The sequence below is a fragment of the Homo sapiens genome, chromosome 1 (genome assembly GCF_000001405.40).
Source record: "Homo sapiens chromosome 1, GRCh38.p14 Primary Assembly".
NCBI classification, from domain to species: Eukaryota; Metazoa; Chordata; class Mammalia; order Primates; family Hominidae; genus Homo; species Homo sapiens.
This window is the reverse complement of record NC_000001.11, coordinates 152,189,062-152,211,765: the sequence shown is the minus strand read 5'-3', so window position 1 is coordinate 152,211,765 and position 22,704 is coordinate 152,189,062. Positions and strand designations below refer to the sequence as shown.

The window sequence follows — 22,704 nt, the reverse complement described above, 5'->3', positions numbered from 1 at the left end:
GTCTTGGTTTAACAAAAACTTTTTAGTGTTAGTTTTAATTTTTAACAAAAAAAGTTTTTTAAAAAAATTTAAAACAGAAAAAAGCCTACAGAATAATGATGTAAAGAAAAAAATATTTGTGTTCAGCTATACAATGTGTTCGTGCTTTAAGCTAGGTGTTAATTAAGAGAGTCAAAAAGTTTAAAAATGTAAAAGTCTATAAACCTAAAAATTTACAGTAAGCTAAAGTTAATTTTTACTGGAGGAAGAAATTCTTTTATAAATTTAGTGTAATTCAAGTGTATAGTGTTTACACACTCTACAGTAGTATACAGTAATGTCCTAGGCCTTCCCATTCACTCACCACTCACTGACTGACACCTACAGCAACTTCTAGTCCTACATGCTCTATTCATGGTAAGTGCCCTATACAAGTGTACCTTTTTTATCTTTTATGCCATATTTTTACTGTACCTTCTTTATGTTTAGATACATTTAGATGCACACTTACCATTGTGTTAGTTGCCTACAGTACTCAGTACAGTAACATGCTGTATAGGTTTGTAGCCTAGGAGCAATAATCTATACCATATAGCCTAGTTGTTTATTGGCTATACCATCTATATTTGTGTAAGTACACTCTCTGATGTTTGCCTAAGGGTGCATTTTTCACAACATATCCCCCATTGTTAAGCAACACGATTGTGTACTTTACTATAGGGCCTAGCAATTCCACTCCCAAGCGAAATGACAACGTATGTCTACATTGAAGATTTTTACATGAATGTTTATAGCAGCTTTAATAATAGCCCCAAACTTGAAACAATCCAAATGTCCACGAACAGATGACTGGATAAACAAATTGTGGTATGGCTATACAATGGAATTCTATTTAGCAAGGAAAAAAAGAATAAACTACTGATACATGTAACACAGATGAATCTCAAAAACACGTTGATCAAAAGAAGCCATCCACAAAAGAGTACATATTTATGATTCCATCTATATGAAACTTACTAAAACAAACCTAATCTATAAAAATAGAAAGTAGATCAGTGGTTGACTAGGGCTGGGAGTAGAACTTGTGAACTGTCTGGAAGAGTCACAAAGGAACACTCTAGGGTGATGGAATAAATCTATATGTAGATTATAATGGTAGTTACATATATATATACTTTTGTCAAAACTTACATAATCGTACATATTATGTGGAAATTATATCTCAATAAAGTTGATTGTTTAAAGGCTTTCTGTGCAACTTGACACACGAATTTTTTTTGTTTTTTGTTTTTTGTTTTTTGTTTTGAGACAGTCTCACTCTGTTGCCCAGGCTGGAGTACAGTGGCACAATATCGGCTCACTGCAACCTCCATCTCGTGGGTGCAAGTGATTCCCCTGCCTCAGTCTCCTGGGATTACAGGCAGGCAGCACCACATCCAGCTAATGTTTGTATTTTTAGTAGGCAGGGTTTCACCATGTTGGCCAGGCTGGTCTCGAACTCCTGACCTCAGGTGATCTGCCCGCCTCGGCCTCCCAAAGTGCTGGCATTATGTGAGCCACCAAGATACAGAAGGGGAGGAGTTTCATCTCATCAGATATCAAAATATATTACAAAGTTATATGATTTAAAACAGTGCAGTATTGTTGTAGGAACAGATATACAGAGCAATGTGACTCCAGAAACAGATCCATGCATACTTGATATACAAGAGCAGTGGTTTTGCTTATCAGTGGAGAGAGGCAACTCTTTCAATAAATGGTGCCAAGGTAATAAATTTTCCATAGGAAAAAAATTATCTCTATTTCACACCATTTACAAAAATCACTTCCAAGTAAATAAAAACCTAACTGTGATAAGCCAAACTTTTAAAAATTTTTAAAGAAAATATAGGAGAATATCTTTATGACTTTGAAATAAGTGCAGATTCTTTAAACAAGAAATATACAAACCACCAAGGAAAGACTCATGACTTTTACTATAATTAAATTACAAATGTCTGTAAATCCAAAGACAATCTCAAAAAGTAAAAAGGACAAACCACAGAGTCCAAGAACATTTTTGAAATGCCTATAAACAACAGATGATCAATAGCCGGATTATGTAAATAACTTATAAAAATTAAAAATTTAAAAAACAGCAAAACTTAGAAAATTCACCAAAATTTATAAAAATTAAAAATTAAAAAGAAACAGCAAAACTTATAAAAAGAAAATTCACCAAAGGTAATCTGAATGGCAAAGTGACATTTTTAAAACAATGCTCAGGGAAATAGATAATTAAAACACAATGAAATTCATTTCATACCCATCGGATCAGAAAAAAACTAAAGTCTGGCAATATCCAGTGTCGGGAGGATACTGAGCAGCAGGAGTCTGAACTGATACCTAATTAAGAGGAAATCTGGCAACCACAGACAAGTCTGTAACAGCAAAATGTTACAAACAACCTAAAAGTTCAATAGAAGAATGGATAAATTGTAATATACCCACACACTAAAATGCTATATAGCAGTTAAAATTCATGAGCTACAGGTACGTATATATCAACATGGACAAATTCCAAAAGTGTAATGCCAAGTGAAAAGGTTGCAAAACAAGTATACATGGTGTGATACCATTTATATAGGTTTACAATATACATAACAATACCATATATTGTTTGTGGTTAATACATATTTGGTAAATGTAAAAATCTTTATGGGAATGATAAACAGCAAATTCAAGACAGTGTGTACCTCTGGAAGGATGGAAGAAAATGGAACTGAGATCGAGTAAACAATACCAAAAGTTTTCTTAAGAAGATGGTATTCATTATATCATTCACTGACTTGTAAATCTACACTTACTTGTAAATCTTAAATTATTTTGTAAGAAAAAGGAGAACACAAAGAACAATGTTAGAATGCCCATCAAGGACTGCTCAAGGGAGAGTGTTCTGACAAGCTAGTCCACTGGTGTATCTGGTCCAGCATGTCCTAGTCTTTTAAATAAATGTCTCACCACATGAGTGCCTAATGATATTCATCAGCTGAACCACACAACACACCCTCTGCCACAGACTTCAAACACACCAAGGGGCCTTCTAGAAAATTTGGCTTTCTCAAAATTGACAAATGGGATCTAATTAAACTAAAGAGCTTCTGCACAGCAAAAGAAACTACCATCAGAGTGAATAGGCAACCTACAGAATGGGAGAAAATTTTTGCAACCTACTCATCTGACAAAGGGCTAATATCCAGAATCTACAATGAACTCAAACAAATTTACAAGAAAAAAAAAAACAACCCCATCAAAAAGTGGGTGAAGGATATGAACAGACACTTCTCAAAAGAAGACATTTATGCAGCCAAAAAACACATGAAAAAATGCTCATCATCAGTGGCCATCAGAGAAATGCAAATCAAAACCACAATGAGATACCATCTCACACCAGTTAGAATGGCAATCATTAAAAAGTCAGGAAACAACAGGTGCTGGAGAGGATGTGGAGAAATAGGAACACTTTTACACTGCTGGTGGAACTGTAAACTAGTTCAACCATTGTGGAAGTCAGTGTGGCGATTCCTCAGGGATCTAGAACTAGAAATACCATTTGACCCAGCCATCCCATTACTGGGTATATACCCAAAGGATTATAAATCATGCTGCTATAAAGACACACATACACATTATGTTTACTGCGGCACTATTTACAATAGCAAAGACTTGGAACCAACCCAAATGTCCATCAATGATAGACTGGATTAAGAAAATGTGGCACATATACACCATGGAATACTATGCAGCCATAAAAAATGATGAGTTCATGTCCTTTGTAGGGACATGGATGAAGCTGGAAACCATCATTCTCAGCAAACTATTGCAAGGACAAAAAACCAAACACCGCATATTCTCACTCATAGGTGGGAATTGAACAATGAGAACACTTGGACACAGGAAGGGGAACATCACACACTGGGGACTGCTGTGGGGTGGGGGTAGAGGGGAGGGATAGCATTAGGAGATATACCTAATGCTAAATGACGAGTTAATGGATGCAGCACAGTAACATGGCACATGTATACATATGTAACAAACCTGCACGTTGTGCACATGGACCCTAAAACTTAAAGTATAATAATAATAAAATTTTTTAAAAAAAGAAAATTTGGCTTTCCATAATTTTCCCAAAAGGAGAAAGCATTCATCAGCAAGATTAATATAAATACCCAGTGTTTCTGATAATGCATTTCTGACTGTAAATTAATAAAATGGCACTCTGGTTTTTATACTTCAGTCCCTGATGAGTTCAGTTACAATGAAACAGTTTTCCTGAGTCTGATCAACTCTGGGGCACTGATATGAGTGCATTTCTGGGTATATAAGAATGAGAACCAAACCCTGACCCTTTTTCTGGGCAACACCCCAACCTTATTCTTTGCCTTCCAAGGGGTAAGGGGCAAGAAAATTTTTCTAATAAGAGAAAGCAAACAAATTCCCAATAAATGCTTAGTTATATAGTTAAGCCAAGTTTTTCACAATGTTTCTCTTTTCCTTGTTATGACTCTAGAAACTTAAGAACCATAATGTTACAGCTAAAATAAGAAAAGAGAAAGAGGTGGGCTGTTTCAGGCAGGATCTTACAGAATCCCAATACCTCATCCCCAGATGGATCTCACTTTTGTTAGTTTTTGTCTGTACATTCAAATGTGATCAAGCTCTGGGAGACAGATTCACTCTAAGCAAAGTCTTAAGGGTCCAATTGATTTATTTACTAACTACAAGATAATAAACGTATTCAGAACAAGAATCAGCTGTTTAACATGGGGTATTCCCTGTCATTGGATAGATTCATTTGAGAGATATCAGGTTATTAGATGAGCTTCAGAGCAAAAGAGTTTTATTCTCCAAGGTTGTGCTATGGTAATCTGATGATTCAAAAATTTTTCCTAAAAGGGATAGAAAAATACAAAAGCAGCATTGTTATTGAACATCTTATGAACTGGGAACATTACATTATGTGCTATATACTTGACATATATTTATTTATTGTTTAATTTCATTCTCATAGCAACCCTGTGGTTATAAATGTTATTTTACTGAAGAGCAAACTGAGACTTTAAAAGGTCAAGTATATTATATTAGTAAAGTCAGGTTTTATACCTAAATCTGTCTAACTCCAAAACATATGTGTTTGCTAACATAACACTGTCTTGTGCTTCAGTAATATTTTTCTCTAAACAACTACAGTCAAACAACTAGGACTGGTGCAATCCACTCTTCTGGACACTGCTGGAGACACACCAACTAGTACTCATCCTCAGACTCCCCCTTTCCTGCTTCAATGCAACCAAACTTAATGTCTTGAGAGAGACTTGAGGAACACCCTGCTCATTAGCAGCACTTAATTTCCAAGGGTGGACTCCTGCTGCAGATAACTCATCTCTTCACATTTTATTTATTTCATCACATTTAACAGTTCTCATTAGTTTCAATTCCAGAGGGTGGCATTTTCTGACTTGACCTCCTTAATGCATGCCTTACTTTGTAGGTCACCAGGGACTAATAATAAACAATCACACACAGTCTGGTATCTTTTGAAAGATAAGTATCTGATACCCAATTCCTTCAATAGCCTGTCTCAGCCCTCTTCCTCTACCCCTCCTGTTCTCTCAGACTCCCTGACTCTGTGTGCTCTACCCTAGAAACAAAGGGCTCCTGAGCATCACCACCCACCTTGGTTTGTCCTTACCTACAAATTCTTGCCAGAACACTCCAGATGTTGAAGACTTAAAATTGTGACAAATCAGCCATGCAATATTCATAGACTTCACAAGCAGAGAAGTGAACTCCATGTGCAAAGACACTGAGGAAATAGTGTTCTCAGGGATCAAAGAGTATATGTCTTTGGCTGAAGCATGTAGAAAAACCAGTATCAGGAACTGCAGCTGGAAAAGCAAGTTGGAGGCAGGCTGTAAAGGGCTTTAAATAGAATCACATGAAGGAGGCGGAGAAGAAAGGTCAGTGAAGGACACTGATAAAGATGAATCAAAGTTGGAGGAGAGGCAGAGAAAATGGTGTTCTAGAACCCAAAGAGAGGGAATTTCACTAAGTAATGGAAGATAAAATGCATTTTATAAAGTTATTATAAATACTCTTCTGCCAGATAGCATATTGGCAGAAGAGTAGATAATACAGATCAATATAACAATAAATAGCCCAGAAACAGATCCTAATATATATATTTTTAATTAATTTGTGAACTGTCTGCTACATAGTTAATATATATAGTGTACTTAGAAAAGTGTCTGGTCCACAGTAATCATCTAATAAATATTAGTGGCTATCTTTATTACTACTTGTTGTTATAATTCTTATTAAATATCAGTGTGAAAAGATTCTTTAAAAAGTTTGTAGTAAAGAGGAAATAAGAGAGTAGGCAAGGAAGAAAGAAAAATCCTTTATAAAGGAAGAAATTAAAATATATGCTGGAAACACAGGCAGCATGCAATAAAAATTTACTGAATGTGAATAACAGTTCTAAGTCAAGTGGAAGGTGATTTATAGAAAGTAAGAATCTGTTGATACAGAGAAAGGAATCGTTGTTGGATCAAGGACCTAGAAGGAATGACAGAAATTGAATCAAATATACACATAGAGAAATCAGTCTTGGAAAGGAAAAGAATACCTCATATACTCTTGAAACAAAAAGGAGATTAAAATTCAGCAAAAATACAATTACCTCCATGTTTTTAAAAGAGGTTCCTAGGATGAGCTGCATCAGAATCACCTATGGTAATTATTTAAAAAGCAAACTGATGGCCTCTATCCCAGATCAACTAAATCCAAATTTCTAGTAGATGGGACCCAGGAATCTGTATGTTAGTGGTCCATGACCTAGTTGATTCCTTTTAGAAACAAAGTTAGGAGAATTCACATCCGTTGGCCCCTATGGAGACAACAAAACTGACTCCTTGCCCAACCACCATTATGACTAAGCATATAAAGTCGCACCATTGGAGAGGAAAAACAAAAATCTTTACAACCCTGAGATAAGCTAAAAATGAGGAAGAAGATTCTACCTAGTCTTCCAAATCAATGAAGCCTTGAGCCCTTTCCTATAAATTGCTAACTCTCTAATGTAAACAACTTCATCCCTGACTTTTGCAACACTGACACCTACAAGTATGATAATGATATGGAGGAAATTTTTTCATCCACATGAATAGACTAACTGTAATCTTGGTAGCCTGACTCCTCATTCTTTTTGAATCACTTCCCAATCTTAACAAAGAAGGAAGTAAAGTGATCTACTAAAAGGAAGATGGGGAGGGAGTGAAGCAGGAGGCTTAGAAAGATCTGAAAAGGGAAAGGTCTGAAAATTCCAGCTGAGGGGTCTGGTAAAAGAAACCACCTAGGTATGATGAAAGGGATTGCCAGGCAATATTCAGAGTGTGGGCAAGGTTAATATAATAAATGTGTAGAAATAAGCTAAGGCACCATGTATGTGATATTTGCCATCTTAACAGCCTGGCAGAAGAAGCCAAAAAAAAAAAAAAATGGAATTAGGTTAATCCCAGGTTTGAGACTGGCAGGGCAGGTACAAGGAAAAATGAAGGGTCCAAGGACACATAATGGTCTGTAGAGAAGGTTATAGGTATGGGAGGAAAAACCAGAAACCCTTACAGCAGGGGTCCCCAACCCCTGGGCTACAGACTAGTACTAGTCTGTGGCCTGTTAGTAACCAGGCCACACAGCAGTAGGTGAGTGGCAGCCCACCGTGCATTACTGCCTGAACTTCGCCTCCTGTCAGATCAGCAGCTGCATTAGATTCTCATAGGAACACGAACCCTATTGTGAACTACACCAGGAGGGATCTAGGTTGCATGTGCCTTATGAGAATCTAATGCCTGATAATCCAAGATGGAACAGTTTCATCCCTAAACCATCCCACCCCCACTGTTCTCCCATCCATGGAATAGTTGACTTCCATGAAACCAGTCCCTGCTGCCAAAAAGGTTGGGAATTGCTCCCTTACAGGCCCCCTCCTTGGCCCAAACTATATGTGTGTGAAGGGACGGATAATTTTATAGCCAAATTTCCCCTAGGCAAGACCTTACACTCTCGACTCCATTATTGTAGGAAAGATGGGCCTTGTTAGCAGTAGCAACTTTTCAGGTAAAATAAAACTAACAATATGGAATATACTAGGAGCTATGTACCAATGTCTCATTACTTACCCCTTTTTTGCCTTCACAATAACTCTTTGATGCAGAGATCCTTAAACTTCTCCTCAGTATGCAAATTGAGGTTATAAATCCAAGGACACACAGCTCACCTATGATGTAGTTCAGATTTGAACTCAAGTGTGACTATGAACTCATTCTCAATCTACTAGCCCACAGTGACTTCACCAGAACAGCCAGGCTCCACTTCACAGAAAAAGGAAAACAGCATCATTAAAGGAAAACCAGATTTCTAAGAGCAAGGGATGGCAGGGAGTAAGGATATAGGGATATTTCTTGGCAACAAAACCAAAGAGAATGAAACATAATGTAGGATAATTAGCAGTGAGAGCACAGCAAATAAAAGGCAATAAGTAGCTGTAAATATTATATCTGAAGGCATGTGTGCATGGGGAGTAGTGGAGGTGAAGCTAAGAGCCAAGTGGAGAAGGAAGTGAGAGGAAGAAAGTGAATTTAGCCCACTCACCATCATTATCTCTGACATCTCTCAAAGGAAGTAGAGTGGGAAACAAAAGGAGATTAAAGCAAGTTTGTCTAGATAGGAAGATTCATCATGCCTGGCAGGAGGGGGTCACTGTTATTGCAACCTTTAACCCAATCCTTTTCTCTTCTGCCCACTTTGGGGAGTGATCTGGGTGACTTGGTTTGTTCTTTTTTGAGATGCTTACCAATTGCTGACAACAATCACAATGCATTATAACATGATTGAGGCCCACAACTTCAAAAGTGTGATGATGGAATCCTAGATAGATATGAAAGAAGGCAGGAAGGGGACTGGCAGACTGAAAAAATAGAGACAGGATAAGGAACAGATTTCTTTGAAATGTGCATACCCTGTCTACCAGCAGTTCTACTCCTACTCGTATACCTCAGAGGAGTTTGCATGCAGACATACTTCATTTTATTGTGCTCCACTTTATTGTGCTTCACAGACTGTGTGTTGTACAAATTGAAGGTTTGAGGCAACCCTGTCTGGCAAGTCCATCGGCACCATTTTTCCAACAGCATGTGCTCCCTTCATGTTTCTGTGTCACATTGTGGTAATTCTCACAATATTTCAAACTTTTTCACTATTATTATATCTGCTATGGTGATCTGTAATAAGTGATCTTTGCTGTTACACTTGTAATTGTTGAGGGCACCACAAACCTTTCCTATATGAAACAGAGAGTTTAATCGATAAATGAGTGTTCTTACTGCTCCAGTGATCAGCTGCTCCCCTTTCTTTCTCCCTCTAGTCAGGCCTATCTATTCCCTAAGATACAATATTGAAATTACGCCAGTTAGTAACCAGACAATGGCTTCTAAGTGTTTCAGTGAATGGAAGAGTCACATGTCTCTCACTTTATTTTATTTATTTATTTATTTATTTATTTATTTATTTATTTATTTGAGACAGAGTATCACTCTATTGCCCACGATAGAGTGCAGTGGCAAGATCTCGGCTCACTGCAACCTCTGCCTCCCGGGTTCAAGCGATTCTTATGCCTCAGCCTCCCAAGTACTGGGATTACAGGTACAGACAACCATGCCCTTCTAATTTTTAAATTTTTTGTAGAAATGGGATATCATTATGTTACCTAGGCTAGTCTCGAACTCCTGGCCTCAAGTGATCCACCTATCTCGACCTCCCAAAGTGCTGGGATTACAGGCATGAGCCACCAGGCACAGCCACATGTCTCTCACTTTAAATAAAAAATAAGAGCTGGGCACGGTGGCTCACACCTGTAATCCCAGCACTTTGGGAGGCCAAGGCAGGCAGATCACCTGAGGTCAGGAGTTCAAGACCAGCCTAATCAATATGGTGAAACCCTGTCTCTACTAAAAATACAAAAATTTACCAGGCGTGGTGGCAGGCACCTGTAGTCCCAGCTACTCGGGAGGCTGACACAGGAGAATTGATTGAACCTGGGAGGCAGAGGTTGCAGTGAGCCGAGATCATGCCACTGCACTCCAGCCTGGGCGACAGAGCGAGACTCCATCTCAAAAATAAATAAATAAATAAATAAATAAGATTAAACTTAGTGAGAAAAGCATGTCAAAAGCAGAGAGAGGCCAAAAGCTAGGCCTTTTGTGCCAGTTAGCCAAGTTTGTGAATGCAAATGAAAAATTCTTAAAGAAAATTAAAAGTGCTACTCCTGTGAACACATGAATGATAAGAAAGCAAAACAGCTTTACCACTGACTTGGAGAAAGTTTTAGTGATCTAGATAGATCAAACCTGCCACACCATTATCTTAAACCAAAGCCTAATCTAGAGTAAGGCCCTAACTCTCTTCAATTCTATGAAAGCTGAGAGAGGTAAGGAAGTTACAGAAGAAACGTTTGAAGCTAGCGGAGGTTGGTTCATGAGGTTTAAGGAAATAAGCCATCTCCAGAATATAAAAGTGCAGGGTGAAGCAGCACATGCTGATGGAGAAGCTGCAGCAAGTTATCCAGTAGATCTAGCTAAGATAATTGATGAAGGTGGCTACACTAAACAACAGATTTTCAATGTAGATAACACAGCATTCTATCAGAGGAAGATGTCACCTAAGACTTTTATAGCTACAGAGATGTCAATTCTCTGGCTTCAAAGCTTCAAAGGACAGGCTGACTCTCTTGTAAGGGACTAATGCAGTTGGTGACTTTAAGTTGAAGCCGATGCTCATTTACCATTCTGAAAATCCTAGGGCCCTTAAGAATCATGCTAAATCTACTCTGTGCTGTATAAATGGAACAGCAAAGCCTGGATGATGGCACATCTGTTTACAGCATGGTTTACTAACTATTTAAGCCCCCTGTTGAGACCTACTACTCAGAAAAAAGAGATTCCTTTCAAAATATTACTGCTCATTGACAATGCACCTGGTCATCCAACAGCTCGGATAAAAATGTACAACGATGTTTTTCCTGTGCCTGCTAACACAACATCCATTCTGCAGCCCATGGATCAAGGAGTGATTTCAATTTTCAAGTCTTCTTATTTAAGAAATACATTTTGGAAGATTACAGCTGCCATAAATAGTGATTCCTCTGATGGATCTGAGTAAGGAAAATTGAAAATCTTCTGGAAAGGATTATCCATTCTAGAAGTCATTAAGAACATCCACGATTCACAGAGAAGTCAAAATATCAATATTAACAGGGGTCTGAAAGAAGCTGATTCTAACCCTAATAGATTACTTTGAGAGATTCAAGACTTCAGTGGAAGAAGTAACTGCAGATGTGGTGGAAATAGCAAGAGAACTAGAATTAGAAGTAAAGCCTGACATATTTACCTAGGTAACAAACTGCACATCATGGACACATACCCCAGAACTTAAAAGTCAAATAAAAAACAATAAAAACAAATTGATTAAAAATTTTTTTTTAAAAAGTAGAGCCTAAAGACTTAATTGCTACAATCTCATGATAAAACTTAAACAGATGAGAAGTTGGTTATGAATGAGCAAAGAAAGTGATTTCTTGAGATGGAATCTACACCTGGTGAAGATGCTATGAACACTGTTATGATATTCCATAAACTTAGTTGATAAAGCAGTGGCAGGGTTTGAGAGGATTGACCAATTTTGAAAGAAATTATACTGTGGGTAAAACTGTATCAAACAGCACTGCATGTTAGAGAGAAATCTCTCGTGAAAGGAAGAGTCAGTCAACACAGGAACCTTCACTGTTGTCTTCCTTTAAGAAATTGCCACAGCCACCCTAACCTTCAGCAACCACCACCCTCATCAGCCAGCAGCCATCAACATCAAGGCAAGACCCTTCACCAGAAAAAAGATTACAACTTGCTGAAGGTTCATTAGCATTTTTTAGCATTGAAGTATTTTCAATGAAGGAATGTATACTTTTTTAGACATAATGCTATTGAGCACTCAATAGAGACTACTCTACAGTGTAAACACACATTTATACACACTGGGAAACCAAACAATTCATGTAACTCACTTTATTGCAATATTCTCTCTAATGCAGTAGTCTGGAACTGAACCTGCAATATCTCCAAGGTTTATCTATATTTGTGATAATAATATCTAATAGTTATATAAAACATACTATGCACTAAGCACTACTATGTATAACTCTCTCAATTACCCTAGGAGATAGACCATTCCAGATCACCATTTTACTGATGAGGCACAGAGGTTAAGTAATTTGCTATGGTCACATAGCTGCTACTGAAACCAAGCAATGAGACTCTAAAGTTTTTGTTCTTAACCCAGGGCACCACATGTGGCTATGCAATTCATTCACTGTCCCAGTGGTGCCAAGAGGAAGCAAGTTGGCACAGAAATCCAATCCATGTCCCAGTTAATAATCCATGCATACCTAGTTAAAAGCTACATCCACCTCAGTACTTTTATCTTTGCCCCAGGCACTTTCTATTTGCCAAGCTGTGAGCTCAGAGGACTAGGTCCATAAAAAGAGGAAGTCTTTCTTATTCACACAAAGGTGCCATATAGTCTAGCTGTGGTGCTACCTTAGCCATGGCACTACACTGACCTATTTTGTTTGGGAAGACATTTACAAGGGTGTTTAATACAGCATTGTTTGTAATAGTGAATTTGGAAAATGGATAAAGTATACTATATTCTTATATTGGAAAGCTACAGTGCACCTAGAAGAAAATAACTATTATATATACACATAGATTTTAAAAACATAATAACTTTGAGTGAAAATCAAGTTGCAAACTATTAATATGTACACTACATTACATAAATTTTAAAATGTAGTTACATATTTTATACATATATATACACATATATTTATACACATACATCACACATATTTACCAAATTAATTTTGGTGGTACTTCTGATAAGAAAAAAAAAAGATTAGAACTTGGGGGTGAGAAACACAGGAGACTTAAATTTACCTGCAATGTTTTATTCATTTTAATAAGACCTGAAGCAAATACAACAAAAAGTTTACTACTGTCAGCTCTAGATGGTAGCCATGCAATTACTCAAGATAAAAATAAAAAGACTATTTTTTAAGAACAGGCTTAGTGGGAACTTAAGAGTAGGAGAGCTAAAAGGCCATTCTGTGTGATCAATGAGTGACATTTCAGGGTTCACAGCTTCAGAGGTGGAGCAGTTATGGTTGATGACAAGGTCCAGGGGGTGGTCATTTGAATAGCTGGCTGAGGTAGAGTGGAGGTAGAGATCAATAGAGTGTAAGAAATGATGGATCCAGATGCATCACCAACATGACTGTTGAAGTTTTCCAGAATGATTATAATAGCTAGGGTGGAAAGAAATAGACAGTTGCCAAAGTCTTCACTGAAGATTATGTGGTTATAGGGGAAGGAGATCAGTCAAGGAAAAAGTAAGGATGGAAAGAGGGTGGAATGTATGTGCATCAATGAAGGAGTGTTTATTGAAAGAAGCCACAGTGGTGAGCAACAAAATCATGTTCAACGCACCTCTAGCCACAACACAACAGAGGGAGAATGTGTAACCTGTACTTGGAACTGCTGAAAAGTAGTATCATTCAGGAAAAGTCTAGTTTCGGTTAAGGTGAGGAGGTAGTTACTTCAAAAATCCTACTGAAACTCTAACTTTGTAATTCATTGACCCAAAGCTATGGGTTCAATCAGAAAGGAGCAGTAGATTTTACCAATAAGCCAAAAGAACAAGAAGGAGAAGGAGGATCATGAAGAGGAGGAGGGAGAAAGAAAAGAGGAAGGAAGGAAGGGAGAAAGAAAACAACAAATGAAAAAAAAAGAGAGAGAAAAAAGAAAGAGAGAGAAAGAAAGAACAAATGAATGAAAGACAAAAGAAAGAAAGAGAGACAGAGAGGAAGAAAGAACAAATGGAAGAAAGAAAAAGAAAGAAGAAAAGAGGAGAAAGGAAGAGGAGAAGGAGGAGGAGGAAGAAATAAAGGAAAGAAAGGAAAGAAAGAGAAAGAAAGAGGAGGAGGAGAAGGAGAAGAAAGAAAGGAGGAGGGGGGAGGAGAAGAAGATGAGGAGGAGGAGGAAGAGAAGAAAGGGAGAAGAAAGGAGGGGAAGGAGGAAGAGAAGAGGGAGAAAGGAGAGAGAAGGAAGGAGGAAGGGGGAAGGGGAAAAAGGAAGGGGGAAGGGAGAAAAAAGAAGAAGAAAGAAGAAGGAAGAAGAGGAAAGAAAGAAGAAAGAAGGAGAAGGAGGAGAAGGGGAAGGAGGAGGAGGGGGAGGAGGAAGAGGAGAAGAAGAAAGAAAGAGAGGAAAGAGAGAGGGGAAAGAAAGAAGGAAGGAAAGAAAGAAGGGAGGAAGGAAAGAAAAGGAAAGAAAGAAGGGAGGAAGGAAAGAAAAAGAAAGAAAGAAAGAAAAGCTCTCGCTCTCCCTCTCCCTCTCCCTCTCCCCACGGTCTCCCTCTCCCTCTCTTTCCACGGTCTCCCTCTGATGCCGAGCCGAAGCTGGACTGTACTGCTGCCATCTCGGCTCACTGCAACCTCCCTGCCTGATTCTCCTGCCTCAGCCTGCCGAGTGCCTGCGATTGCAGGCGCGTGCCGCCACGCCTGACTGGTTTTCATATTTTTTTGGTGGAGACGGGGTTTCGCTGTGCTGGCCGGGCTGGTCTCCAGCTCCTAACCGCGAGTGATCCAGCAGCCTCAGCCTCCTGAGGTGCCAGGATTGCAGACAGAGTCTCGTTCACTCAGTGCTCAATGTTGCCCAGGCTGGAGTGCAGTGGCGTGATCTCGGCTAGCTACAACCTCCACCTCCCAGCCGCCTGCCTTGGCCTCCCAAAGTGCCAAGACTGTAGCCTCAGCCTGACCACCACCCCGTCTGGGAAGTGAGCGTCTCTGCCTGGCTGCCCATCGTCTGGGATGTGAGGAGCCCCTCTGCCCGGCCGCCATCCCGTCTAGGAAGTGAGGAGCGTCTCTGCCCGGCCGCCCATCGTCTGAGATGTGGGGAGCGCCTCTGCCCTGCCGCGACCCCGTCTGGGAGGTGAGGAGTGTCTCTGCCCGGCCACCCCGTCTGAGAAGTGAGGAGACCCTCCGTCCAGCAGCCGCCCCACCTGAGAAGTGAGGAGCCCCTCCACCCGGCAGCCGCACCGTCTGAGAAGTGAGGAGCCCCTCCACCCGGCAGCCACCCCGTCTGGGAAGTGAGGAGCCCCTCCGCCCGGCAGCCACCCCATCTGGGAAGTGAGGAGTGTCTCCGCCCAGCAGCCACCCCGTCTGAGAAGTGAGGAGCCCCTCCGCCCGGCAGCCACCCCGTCTGAGAAGTGAGGAGCCCCTCCGCCCGGCAGCCGCCCCGTCTGAGAAGTGAGGAGCCCCTCCGCCCGGCAGCCGCCCCGTCTGAGAAGTGAGGAGCCCCTCCGCCCGGCAGCCGCCCCGTCTGGGAAGTGAGGAGCGTCTCCGCCTGGCAGCCACTCCGTCTGGGAGGGAGGTGGGGGTTCAGCCCCCGCCCCGCCAGCCGCCCCGTCCGGGAGGGAGGTGGGGGTTCAGCCCCCGCCCCGCCAGCCGCCCCGTCCGGGAGGGAGGTGGGGGTTCAGCCCCCGCCCGGCCAGCCACCCCATCCAAGAGGGAGGTGGGGGGCGCCTCTGCCCAGCTGCCCCTTCTGGGAAGTGAGGAGCCCCTCTGCCCGGCCACCACCCCGTCTGGGAGGTGTACCCAACAGCTCATTGAGAATGGGCCATGATGACGATGGCGGTTTTGTGGAATAGAAAAGTGGGAAAGGTGGGGAAAAGATAGAGAGATCAGATTGTTGCTGTGTCTGTGTAGAAAGAAGTGGACATGGGAGACTTCATTTTGTTCTGTACTGGGAGGGGTTCTTCTGCCTTGGGATGCTGTTGATCTGTGACCTTGCCCCCAGCCCTGTGCTTGCTGGGGCATGTGCGGTGTCCACTGAGGGTTAAATGGATTAAGGGCGGTGCAAGATGTGCTTTGTTAAACAGCTGCTTGAAGGCAGCATGCTCGTTAAGAGTCATCACCACTCCCTAATCTCAAGTACCCAGGGACACAAACACTGCGGAAGGCCGGCCGCAGGGTCCTCTGCCTAGGAAAACCAGAGACCTTTGTTCACTTGTTTATCTGCTGATCTTCCCTCCACTATTGTCCTATGACCCTGCCAAATCCCCCTCTGTGAGAAACACCCAAGAATGATCAATAAAAAAAAAAAGAAAGAAAGAAATCTAAAGATCAATTTGGGCAGAATTGACATCTTCCCAATATTAATCCAATAATATAGTATATCTCTCTATTAAGTATTCTTTAATTTCTCTCTTCAGGGTTTTGTAATTTTCATTATACAAATCTTGCACAGATTCAGTTAGATTTATTTCTATGTATTTGATGATTTTGGAAGCTATTGTAAATAGCATTTAAACTTTTAAACTTTCTGATTGTTCACTGTTAGTATGTAGAAGTATAATTGATTTTGGTATATTGAGTTTCTATCCTCAAATTATCCTAAACTCACTTATTATTTCTAGTAGCGTTTTAAATAGTTTTTTTATTTTGTATATAGGTGATTATAAATCTTCTAGCAAAGAGAGATTTATTTTTTCCTTTCCAAAAAAAGAAAAAAGAAAAATGGGCAAACACCTTGAACAGGCACTTCACAAAAAAGATATCCAAATGGCTAAGAAGCATGTGAAATGTAGTCCATTTCACTTGTCAATTGAGAACAGGAAATTAACACCACGATAGTATACCAATACACATCCATTGAAATGGCTAAAATAAAAAAGACAAACATCATGAATGTAGATCAACTGGAACATTCATACACTGCTCTTGGGAACATAAACTGTTACCATCAATTTGGAAAAGTGTTTGACTCTATCTTTTAAACCTGAACATATACAATTGTTATATTGTATGATTGCCAATTTCATTCCAAATTAAATATTCAAAAGAGGAAAAAAAAAAAAAGAAAAGAAAAGAAAAGAAGAAAGGGGGGGTGGGGAGGGGAGAGGGGGATGGGGAGGGGTGAGGAGGGGGGATGGGGGAGGGCAGGGCAAGGAAAGGAAAAGAAAGGGAAAAGAGAAGAGAAGAGAAAAGAAAAGAATGGCAGTGATGACTGGGGCCCTAATATATTGGACATGAAACTGCCAACTGCACCAAAGAGGAAGGAATGCTGAAGGACATTATCACAAAGCTAAGGGCCAATCAGTAAAATCTTGGAAAATCAAATTGGCTCAGAAAGAGTGAAATGACTTAAGGGAGTAGATAAAGAAATTTCAGAATATTTTAAATGAAGAGATGGTTTTGGTTCTGGAAACAGGTCTGGGAAAGTATCAAGGAATAAATGTAAAGAGGGAACCACATAAAAGGAAACTTGAGGTTTAGAGTCCAAAATGGACCCATATTGAAGGGAAAACCCAATATATTGAGACCTAAAACCTCTTAAAGATAGAATTTGAAAAGTGACCTCTCTTAAAGATAGATCAGAATGATGAAAAGGAAGACAAGCAAGAATCTAAGAAGGGAACAAGAATAATTGATAATTTCAGATGTCCTCTCATGCCATTTTAGGGCTAAGAGAAACTCAGGGGTCTGAATTTCTCCAACAAGCAAGGCCAAACATGTGAAACCAAGTTTTCCACTCCACAGCACTGAAGGGCCTCTCTACAGGGTTTGCAGTCATCTTGGTGACACTAAGAAAAGGAGACACGTGTCCTCTCAGCTCTGGGATTCCCATACGTACAGACAGGTTTGTGGTGTTCTTATTCACCACTCCTCACACTCAGTCTGGGGCAAGGGAAGAGCACAGGCCCAGCCCATACACTACAACCTACTCTACTTTTTCTCCAAACTCCTCTCCACTCTTGTTTAGATGGTCTTTTTTCTATTCTGGATAGGGGTGGAGTAGAAGGAAAAAAATGTTCCCAGTAGCGTCTTCTTTCAAACTTTAATGTCTCATACCTGCACCTTGCCTTTTGAATTTAGAAGAGAAAAATATTGATCTCTTTGTCTGCGGATCCCCCAGTTTGGACTAAGGGACCCTCAGAATAAATCTGTGCAAAACCCAGAGGGGGACTGGGAAAGACCTCGTTCATACATATCTGGCCATGGTTGTTTTTGTAGCTCTAAAATATTTCATTTGCATGTATTTACAAATTCAGCAAAATAAAATTACTTTAAAGTATATAATAAATGACATCAAATCCACCTTTTCTCTGTTGATGGGGGTGAGGCAGTAAAAATACCAAGTGCCTGAAATGGTGGGGCACAGGAACACAGGGATGAAAAACGTTTTATGGTTAAACAGTCTGATAAAACCACCAAACCCTTCTGCCCCACCTCAACAAGACACACTCTTGAAATGAAATGTCCCATTGTGTTTACAGAGAGGGAGAAACAGACAGTGAGGAAGGAGAGGATGGGAAAGTAGAGGAAGAAGGCTTTTTCTGCCTTAATAACAATGTTCAAAGGTTTGCCTGGCTTCACACTTGATTGTCTTCTCCCTCAAAAAAGCAAAAGCAAGGTAGCAACAGAGTTCTTTCAGTTTTCTGTGCAGATTCACATATAGATAACTAAGTAGTAATACTTCCTTACTTGTGTCAAAGAATTTGTGTGCACATTCCACTGGAAATAATTCCATCTGGACCTGGTAACTCCCTTTGGGGTGACTATATCTCCTGCAGGAACTCAGTCCTCACTCAAAAAATCCCAAATTTCCTTCAATCCCATACCCTCAATCACACCTTGCAAAGGTCATCCCTCAATGAAGTCTGGCCACCTGTTTCAGATCAGCAGCCCAAATGGCAATAGAGCCTATGTTGTTTCAATGGCCCACTAAATATTAACAGCTAATAATAGCTAATATAGCTAATAATAACATTTGATGAGCATTTACTATATGCTAGCACTGCTCTAAGAACTTCCCACATATTAATCCTCACAATAACTCTGTAAGTATTATTCTTACCCATATATTATAGATGAGAAAACTGAGAAACAGAGAAGTTAAGCAGCTTTCCCAAGGGTACACTGCTAGTAAGTGGCTGAGCCAGAATTTGAGCCCAGGCAGCCTAACTCCAGGGACCATGTTCTTAACCATTACATGATTCTTCCCCTTGGAAGAGGACAGAACAGATAATATGATGGTTACATTTAGATACACACAGTTTACAATTTGCCCATGGCCCTGGCTCCCAATAACTTCTCATTCCTTTAGCCTCACTGTTCATGTTTGATGTTTTCTGTCTTCATATTGAAAATGCAACACGTTACATTGTGTTAACTTGGCATAATGGAGTAAAAAACAAGGCTTCAGTGGGAATACAATCCTCATGTAAAGTTTAAGAATGGTCAAGACCTGTACTCATGTCTTCATCAAAATTGACTCCAAGTATCCAACTTAGCAGACCAAATGGATGGTGTTAGCACTAACAGAATTCAAGAATTCAGAAGGTAGAATAGATCAGGTTTAAAGAAATAAACTTAGCTCAGGGCATTCATTCATTCAACAAATATTTTTAAAGCATTGAATGTGTATCTGAAACTGTTGTACATTCTGGGCATTCAACAAGGAGGCAGAACAAGTCCTTGCCTCCTGGCAACATTCATTCTAGGGCACACTAGAAAAAACTGAAAAAGTAAATAAGTAAGGAACACAATGCTGTGAAAAAATAACCAAGGGAACCTCTTTCATATGGGGCATTCAGGGACAAAGCAAATTTGAGATGATCAAAGATAGGCAGGTAGATATACAGATCTTAATGACACATTGTCATTGTGCCTTCATGCCAGCTTCCCAAGAACCATAAAATATTTAAAAATAATTTATGATGTTGTAATGCAAACTTCTCAAGCTGATGCTCCAGGCTCTGCTCCAATCCAGCCCTGCCTATCTATCCTCTTCCCACCACCACTCCCAAACACATCTTCTCCATTCCACTTAGGCTAATCTCCTTACTGGCTCACAACATAACAAGTTCACCCCCAACCCTGTTCTCTCCCCTACACCTGTTAATTCTACCCATCCCTCAAGACCAGGCTCAAGTTCCACCTTCCTCATTCTTACCCACTCAGGCTTACCGAACACCCTTCTCCTTTAAACAACTAGTTCCCAGGCAATTAATTACGTAAAAATAGTCTTCTGTCCTTCGCGGCTGTTTCACATATGCCATAACCCAGGACTTTTAACACAAGGCACCACAATATCCTCCCAGCAAGTGTAGGCATGAAGGGAAAGGGGTGTGGCACATGTCCAGAGTTCCCTGGGCCAGAGGTGAAGAGAACTGACTCAGGCTCAGAGAGGCAGCTCAAGGGGAGCAAGCACAGCGAACAAGGGGCACAACTCCCAAATAGGAGCAATGCAAAGTCTCCACTCAAGTGGAAAGATCAACAACTGAGACTACAAGAGACAAGGAGGCAGTTCTAGAGGGGAACTAAGGATCCAGATGGGATATCTAATTGAGGAGTGAAAAGCATAGCATAAGCTCAGTCTCATAGACAAGTTCAACACAGGATAAAGGGAGTAGAGACTTGGGGGATAACCAGAGGCACAACAACTGTCAGCAAAAGGAATCCAGTGAAATTCTGGAACCTACAAACCAAGAATGGGTGACCAAGTTTAAGGACCTGACCTAATTCTAAGCTGTAGGTACAGATTATCAGTGGGCTTGTCTTGGGGGAAATGGGGAAAGTAGATGAAAAAGAGATGAAGGCCAAAATGGTTATGTATAGATTATTTGTCCCTTACGGGCAGGAGACAGGCTTTATGCCTCATTTCTATCCTCCACACCAGTTAGCAAAATAAATATTTACTGATTATGTAAAAAAAGAAAGATCACAGAGAATTTGGTATTACCCAATGATGGGAAGTATGCCAAGATAACCTTAGTCATGATTTAAGCAAGTTATGTATTGTGAAGTCTCCATCACCCTAAAAACACCAAGTGGTAATGTGATCTGGTGAATGAACACGACTGGAAATGAGGACATGAAACCAGACCAGTTTTGTTAGAAACCTCTTATGAGACCCTAAACAAGTTACTTTACTTATCTGAACCTCAATTACCTCATCTTTAAAGGAGTAAATGTAATAACTCCAATTTTTTCATATCTAGAACACACTTCCCGCCAGATCTGACTAATTTCCTCACATCTTTTGAATCTTTGCTCAATCTTGCCTTCCTAATGAAGCCTATTTAATACTAACCACTCTATTTCATACTGCAACCTGCCCATCCCACCAACCCTACCCACACACACAAACACTGGTCTACATTTTTTCTTTTTCATAACACTTCTAACATTTTACATAATTTATTATCTTTATTGTTGTGTGCTAGAATGTGATCTCTATGAAGGCAAAGATCTTTGTCTATTCTATTCATTGATATACTTCACATCTCTGAGTGGAAACTGGAACAGAGTAAACATCCAATAAATATTTGTTGAATGAATACATGAATCGATCTTTAAAAAGGCCAAAATCTTGTGAAAGACCAGAATAATAAATCATTTATATTCTCCCTGAGACCAGGGTCGGCCTCCCACACCCTCAGGCATCCCTATATCCCCTGGTACAGTGTACCATAGTGTGGAATAAGTATTCAATACGTCCCTACTAAATTACTAATTAAACATGGGACCCAAAAAGACAAACATAACCGCGTGCTCTGGGGCCACCTGCTGGCAACTCTTAGTAGGTACCTAAGCAACCAAACTGACAAGAATTTTCAGTGATGAATGGAGTGGCAGGGATTATCTCCTTTCAGCCAGTGAGAACAATCAGGCAACAGACGGCAACAGGAGGAAGGAGGGTAGGCTGGAAATCAGACGTTTCCAAAACCTGCTGTGAAGGACCATACACCCACTGTTTCCCAGAACTCACTTTCTACTTAACAATAATAACGGTAAGTACCCTGTACTGTTTTAAGCACTTTCATGTATCATCTCATTTAATCCTCACATTAATCCGCTGTACCATCTTTACCACCATTTTATAAATGACCAACATTTCCTTTTGAAATAATTACTTTACTTACGTGAAGCAGTGAAGCGGTAAAACAGTGTAAACTATTATTAGTAAGAAAAATCAAGGCATGACTTTTGGGGAGTACCAAGGCACCATGTGCGGGCAGAATGTGACACGCCTGGAGAGGACCAACGACGCCCCAAGGGGGCTGACCTACCAGCCCGCCCCTCAAGCCAAGCACAACCTCAGTCCGGGGTTCTGGATCCCAAAGTCCGCTCCGTTACATTCGGATCACACCAGAACAAGGAGGCAGCCCGCGCCCCGGCTAGCGAGCTCTGCGCCAGGGGAACGCGTGCCGGCGCCCTTAAGCTCCCAAAGCCCCTTCTCGGCGAAGCCGCCGGGGGACGCGGGCCCCGGAAGTGCAGCCCCTCCGCCCGGAAGCAGCTTTTCCTACTTCCCTTGGCGCGACGGGAGCCTGTGTTCACCAGTGCTCCGGCTGAGGCCAGATTCCTGAGGCCGTTCCTTTCGCTGTTTCCGAACGCACAGCCCCGAGAGGCCGGAGGGGATACGAAAGACCTAGGCCGATGGCCCTTCCACACTGCCGCCCCTCGGCTCCCCACCTCTACCAAGGGAGGCCACTGATGTCAGATTCCTCTGTGTTCTG

At 40.7% G+C, this 22,704-nt stretch overlaps 1 long non-coding RNA gene across 9 annotated transcripts in view, besides 1 other annotated feature; it reads right to left on the bottom strand.

Annotated features, from left to right (window-relative positions):
* Window positions 1–22,463, bottom strand: part of CCDST (cervical cancer associated DHX9 suppressive transcript) — a 177,390-nt gene extending 154,927 nt beyond the window's left edge. For 2 of the 9 annotated variants that reach the window (NR_186764.1, NR_186763.1), the window contains exon 1: window positions 22,258–22,463. This is a non-coding gene — a long non-coding RNA (cervical cancer associated DHX9 suppressive transcript). Of the gene's footprint in view, window positions 1–4,708; window positions 4,908–5,710; window positions 5,907–8,198; window positions 8,391–22,110 lie in introns of those variants that run through there. The other 7 variants (NR_186765.1, NR_186762.1, NR_186767.1 and 4 more) reach the window with 6 other exon arrangements.
* Window positions 14,957–15,457: an enhancer, noted in NCBI's record as "H3K27ac hESC enhancer chr1:152168785-152169285 (GRCh37/hg19 assembly coordinates)". NCBI's record gives its function as "activates a minimal SCP1, AML or CMV promoter by ChIP-STARR-seq in naive H9 embryonic stem cells {active_cell/tissue: H9 hESC(naive)}" and the evidence as "EXISTENCE:reporter gene assay evidence [ECO:0000049][PMID:30033119]".
* Window positions 22,464–22,704: the final 241 nt, after the last annotated feature.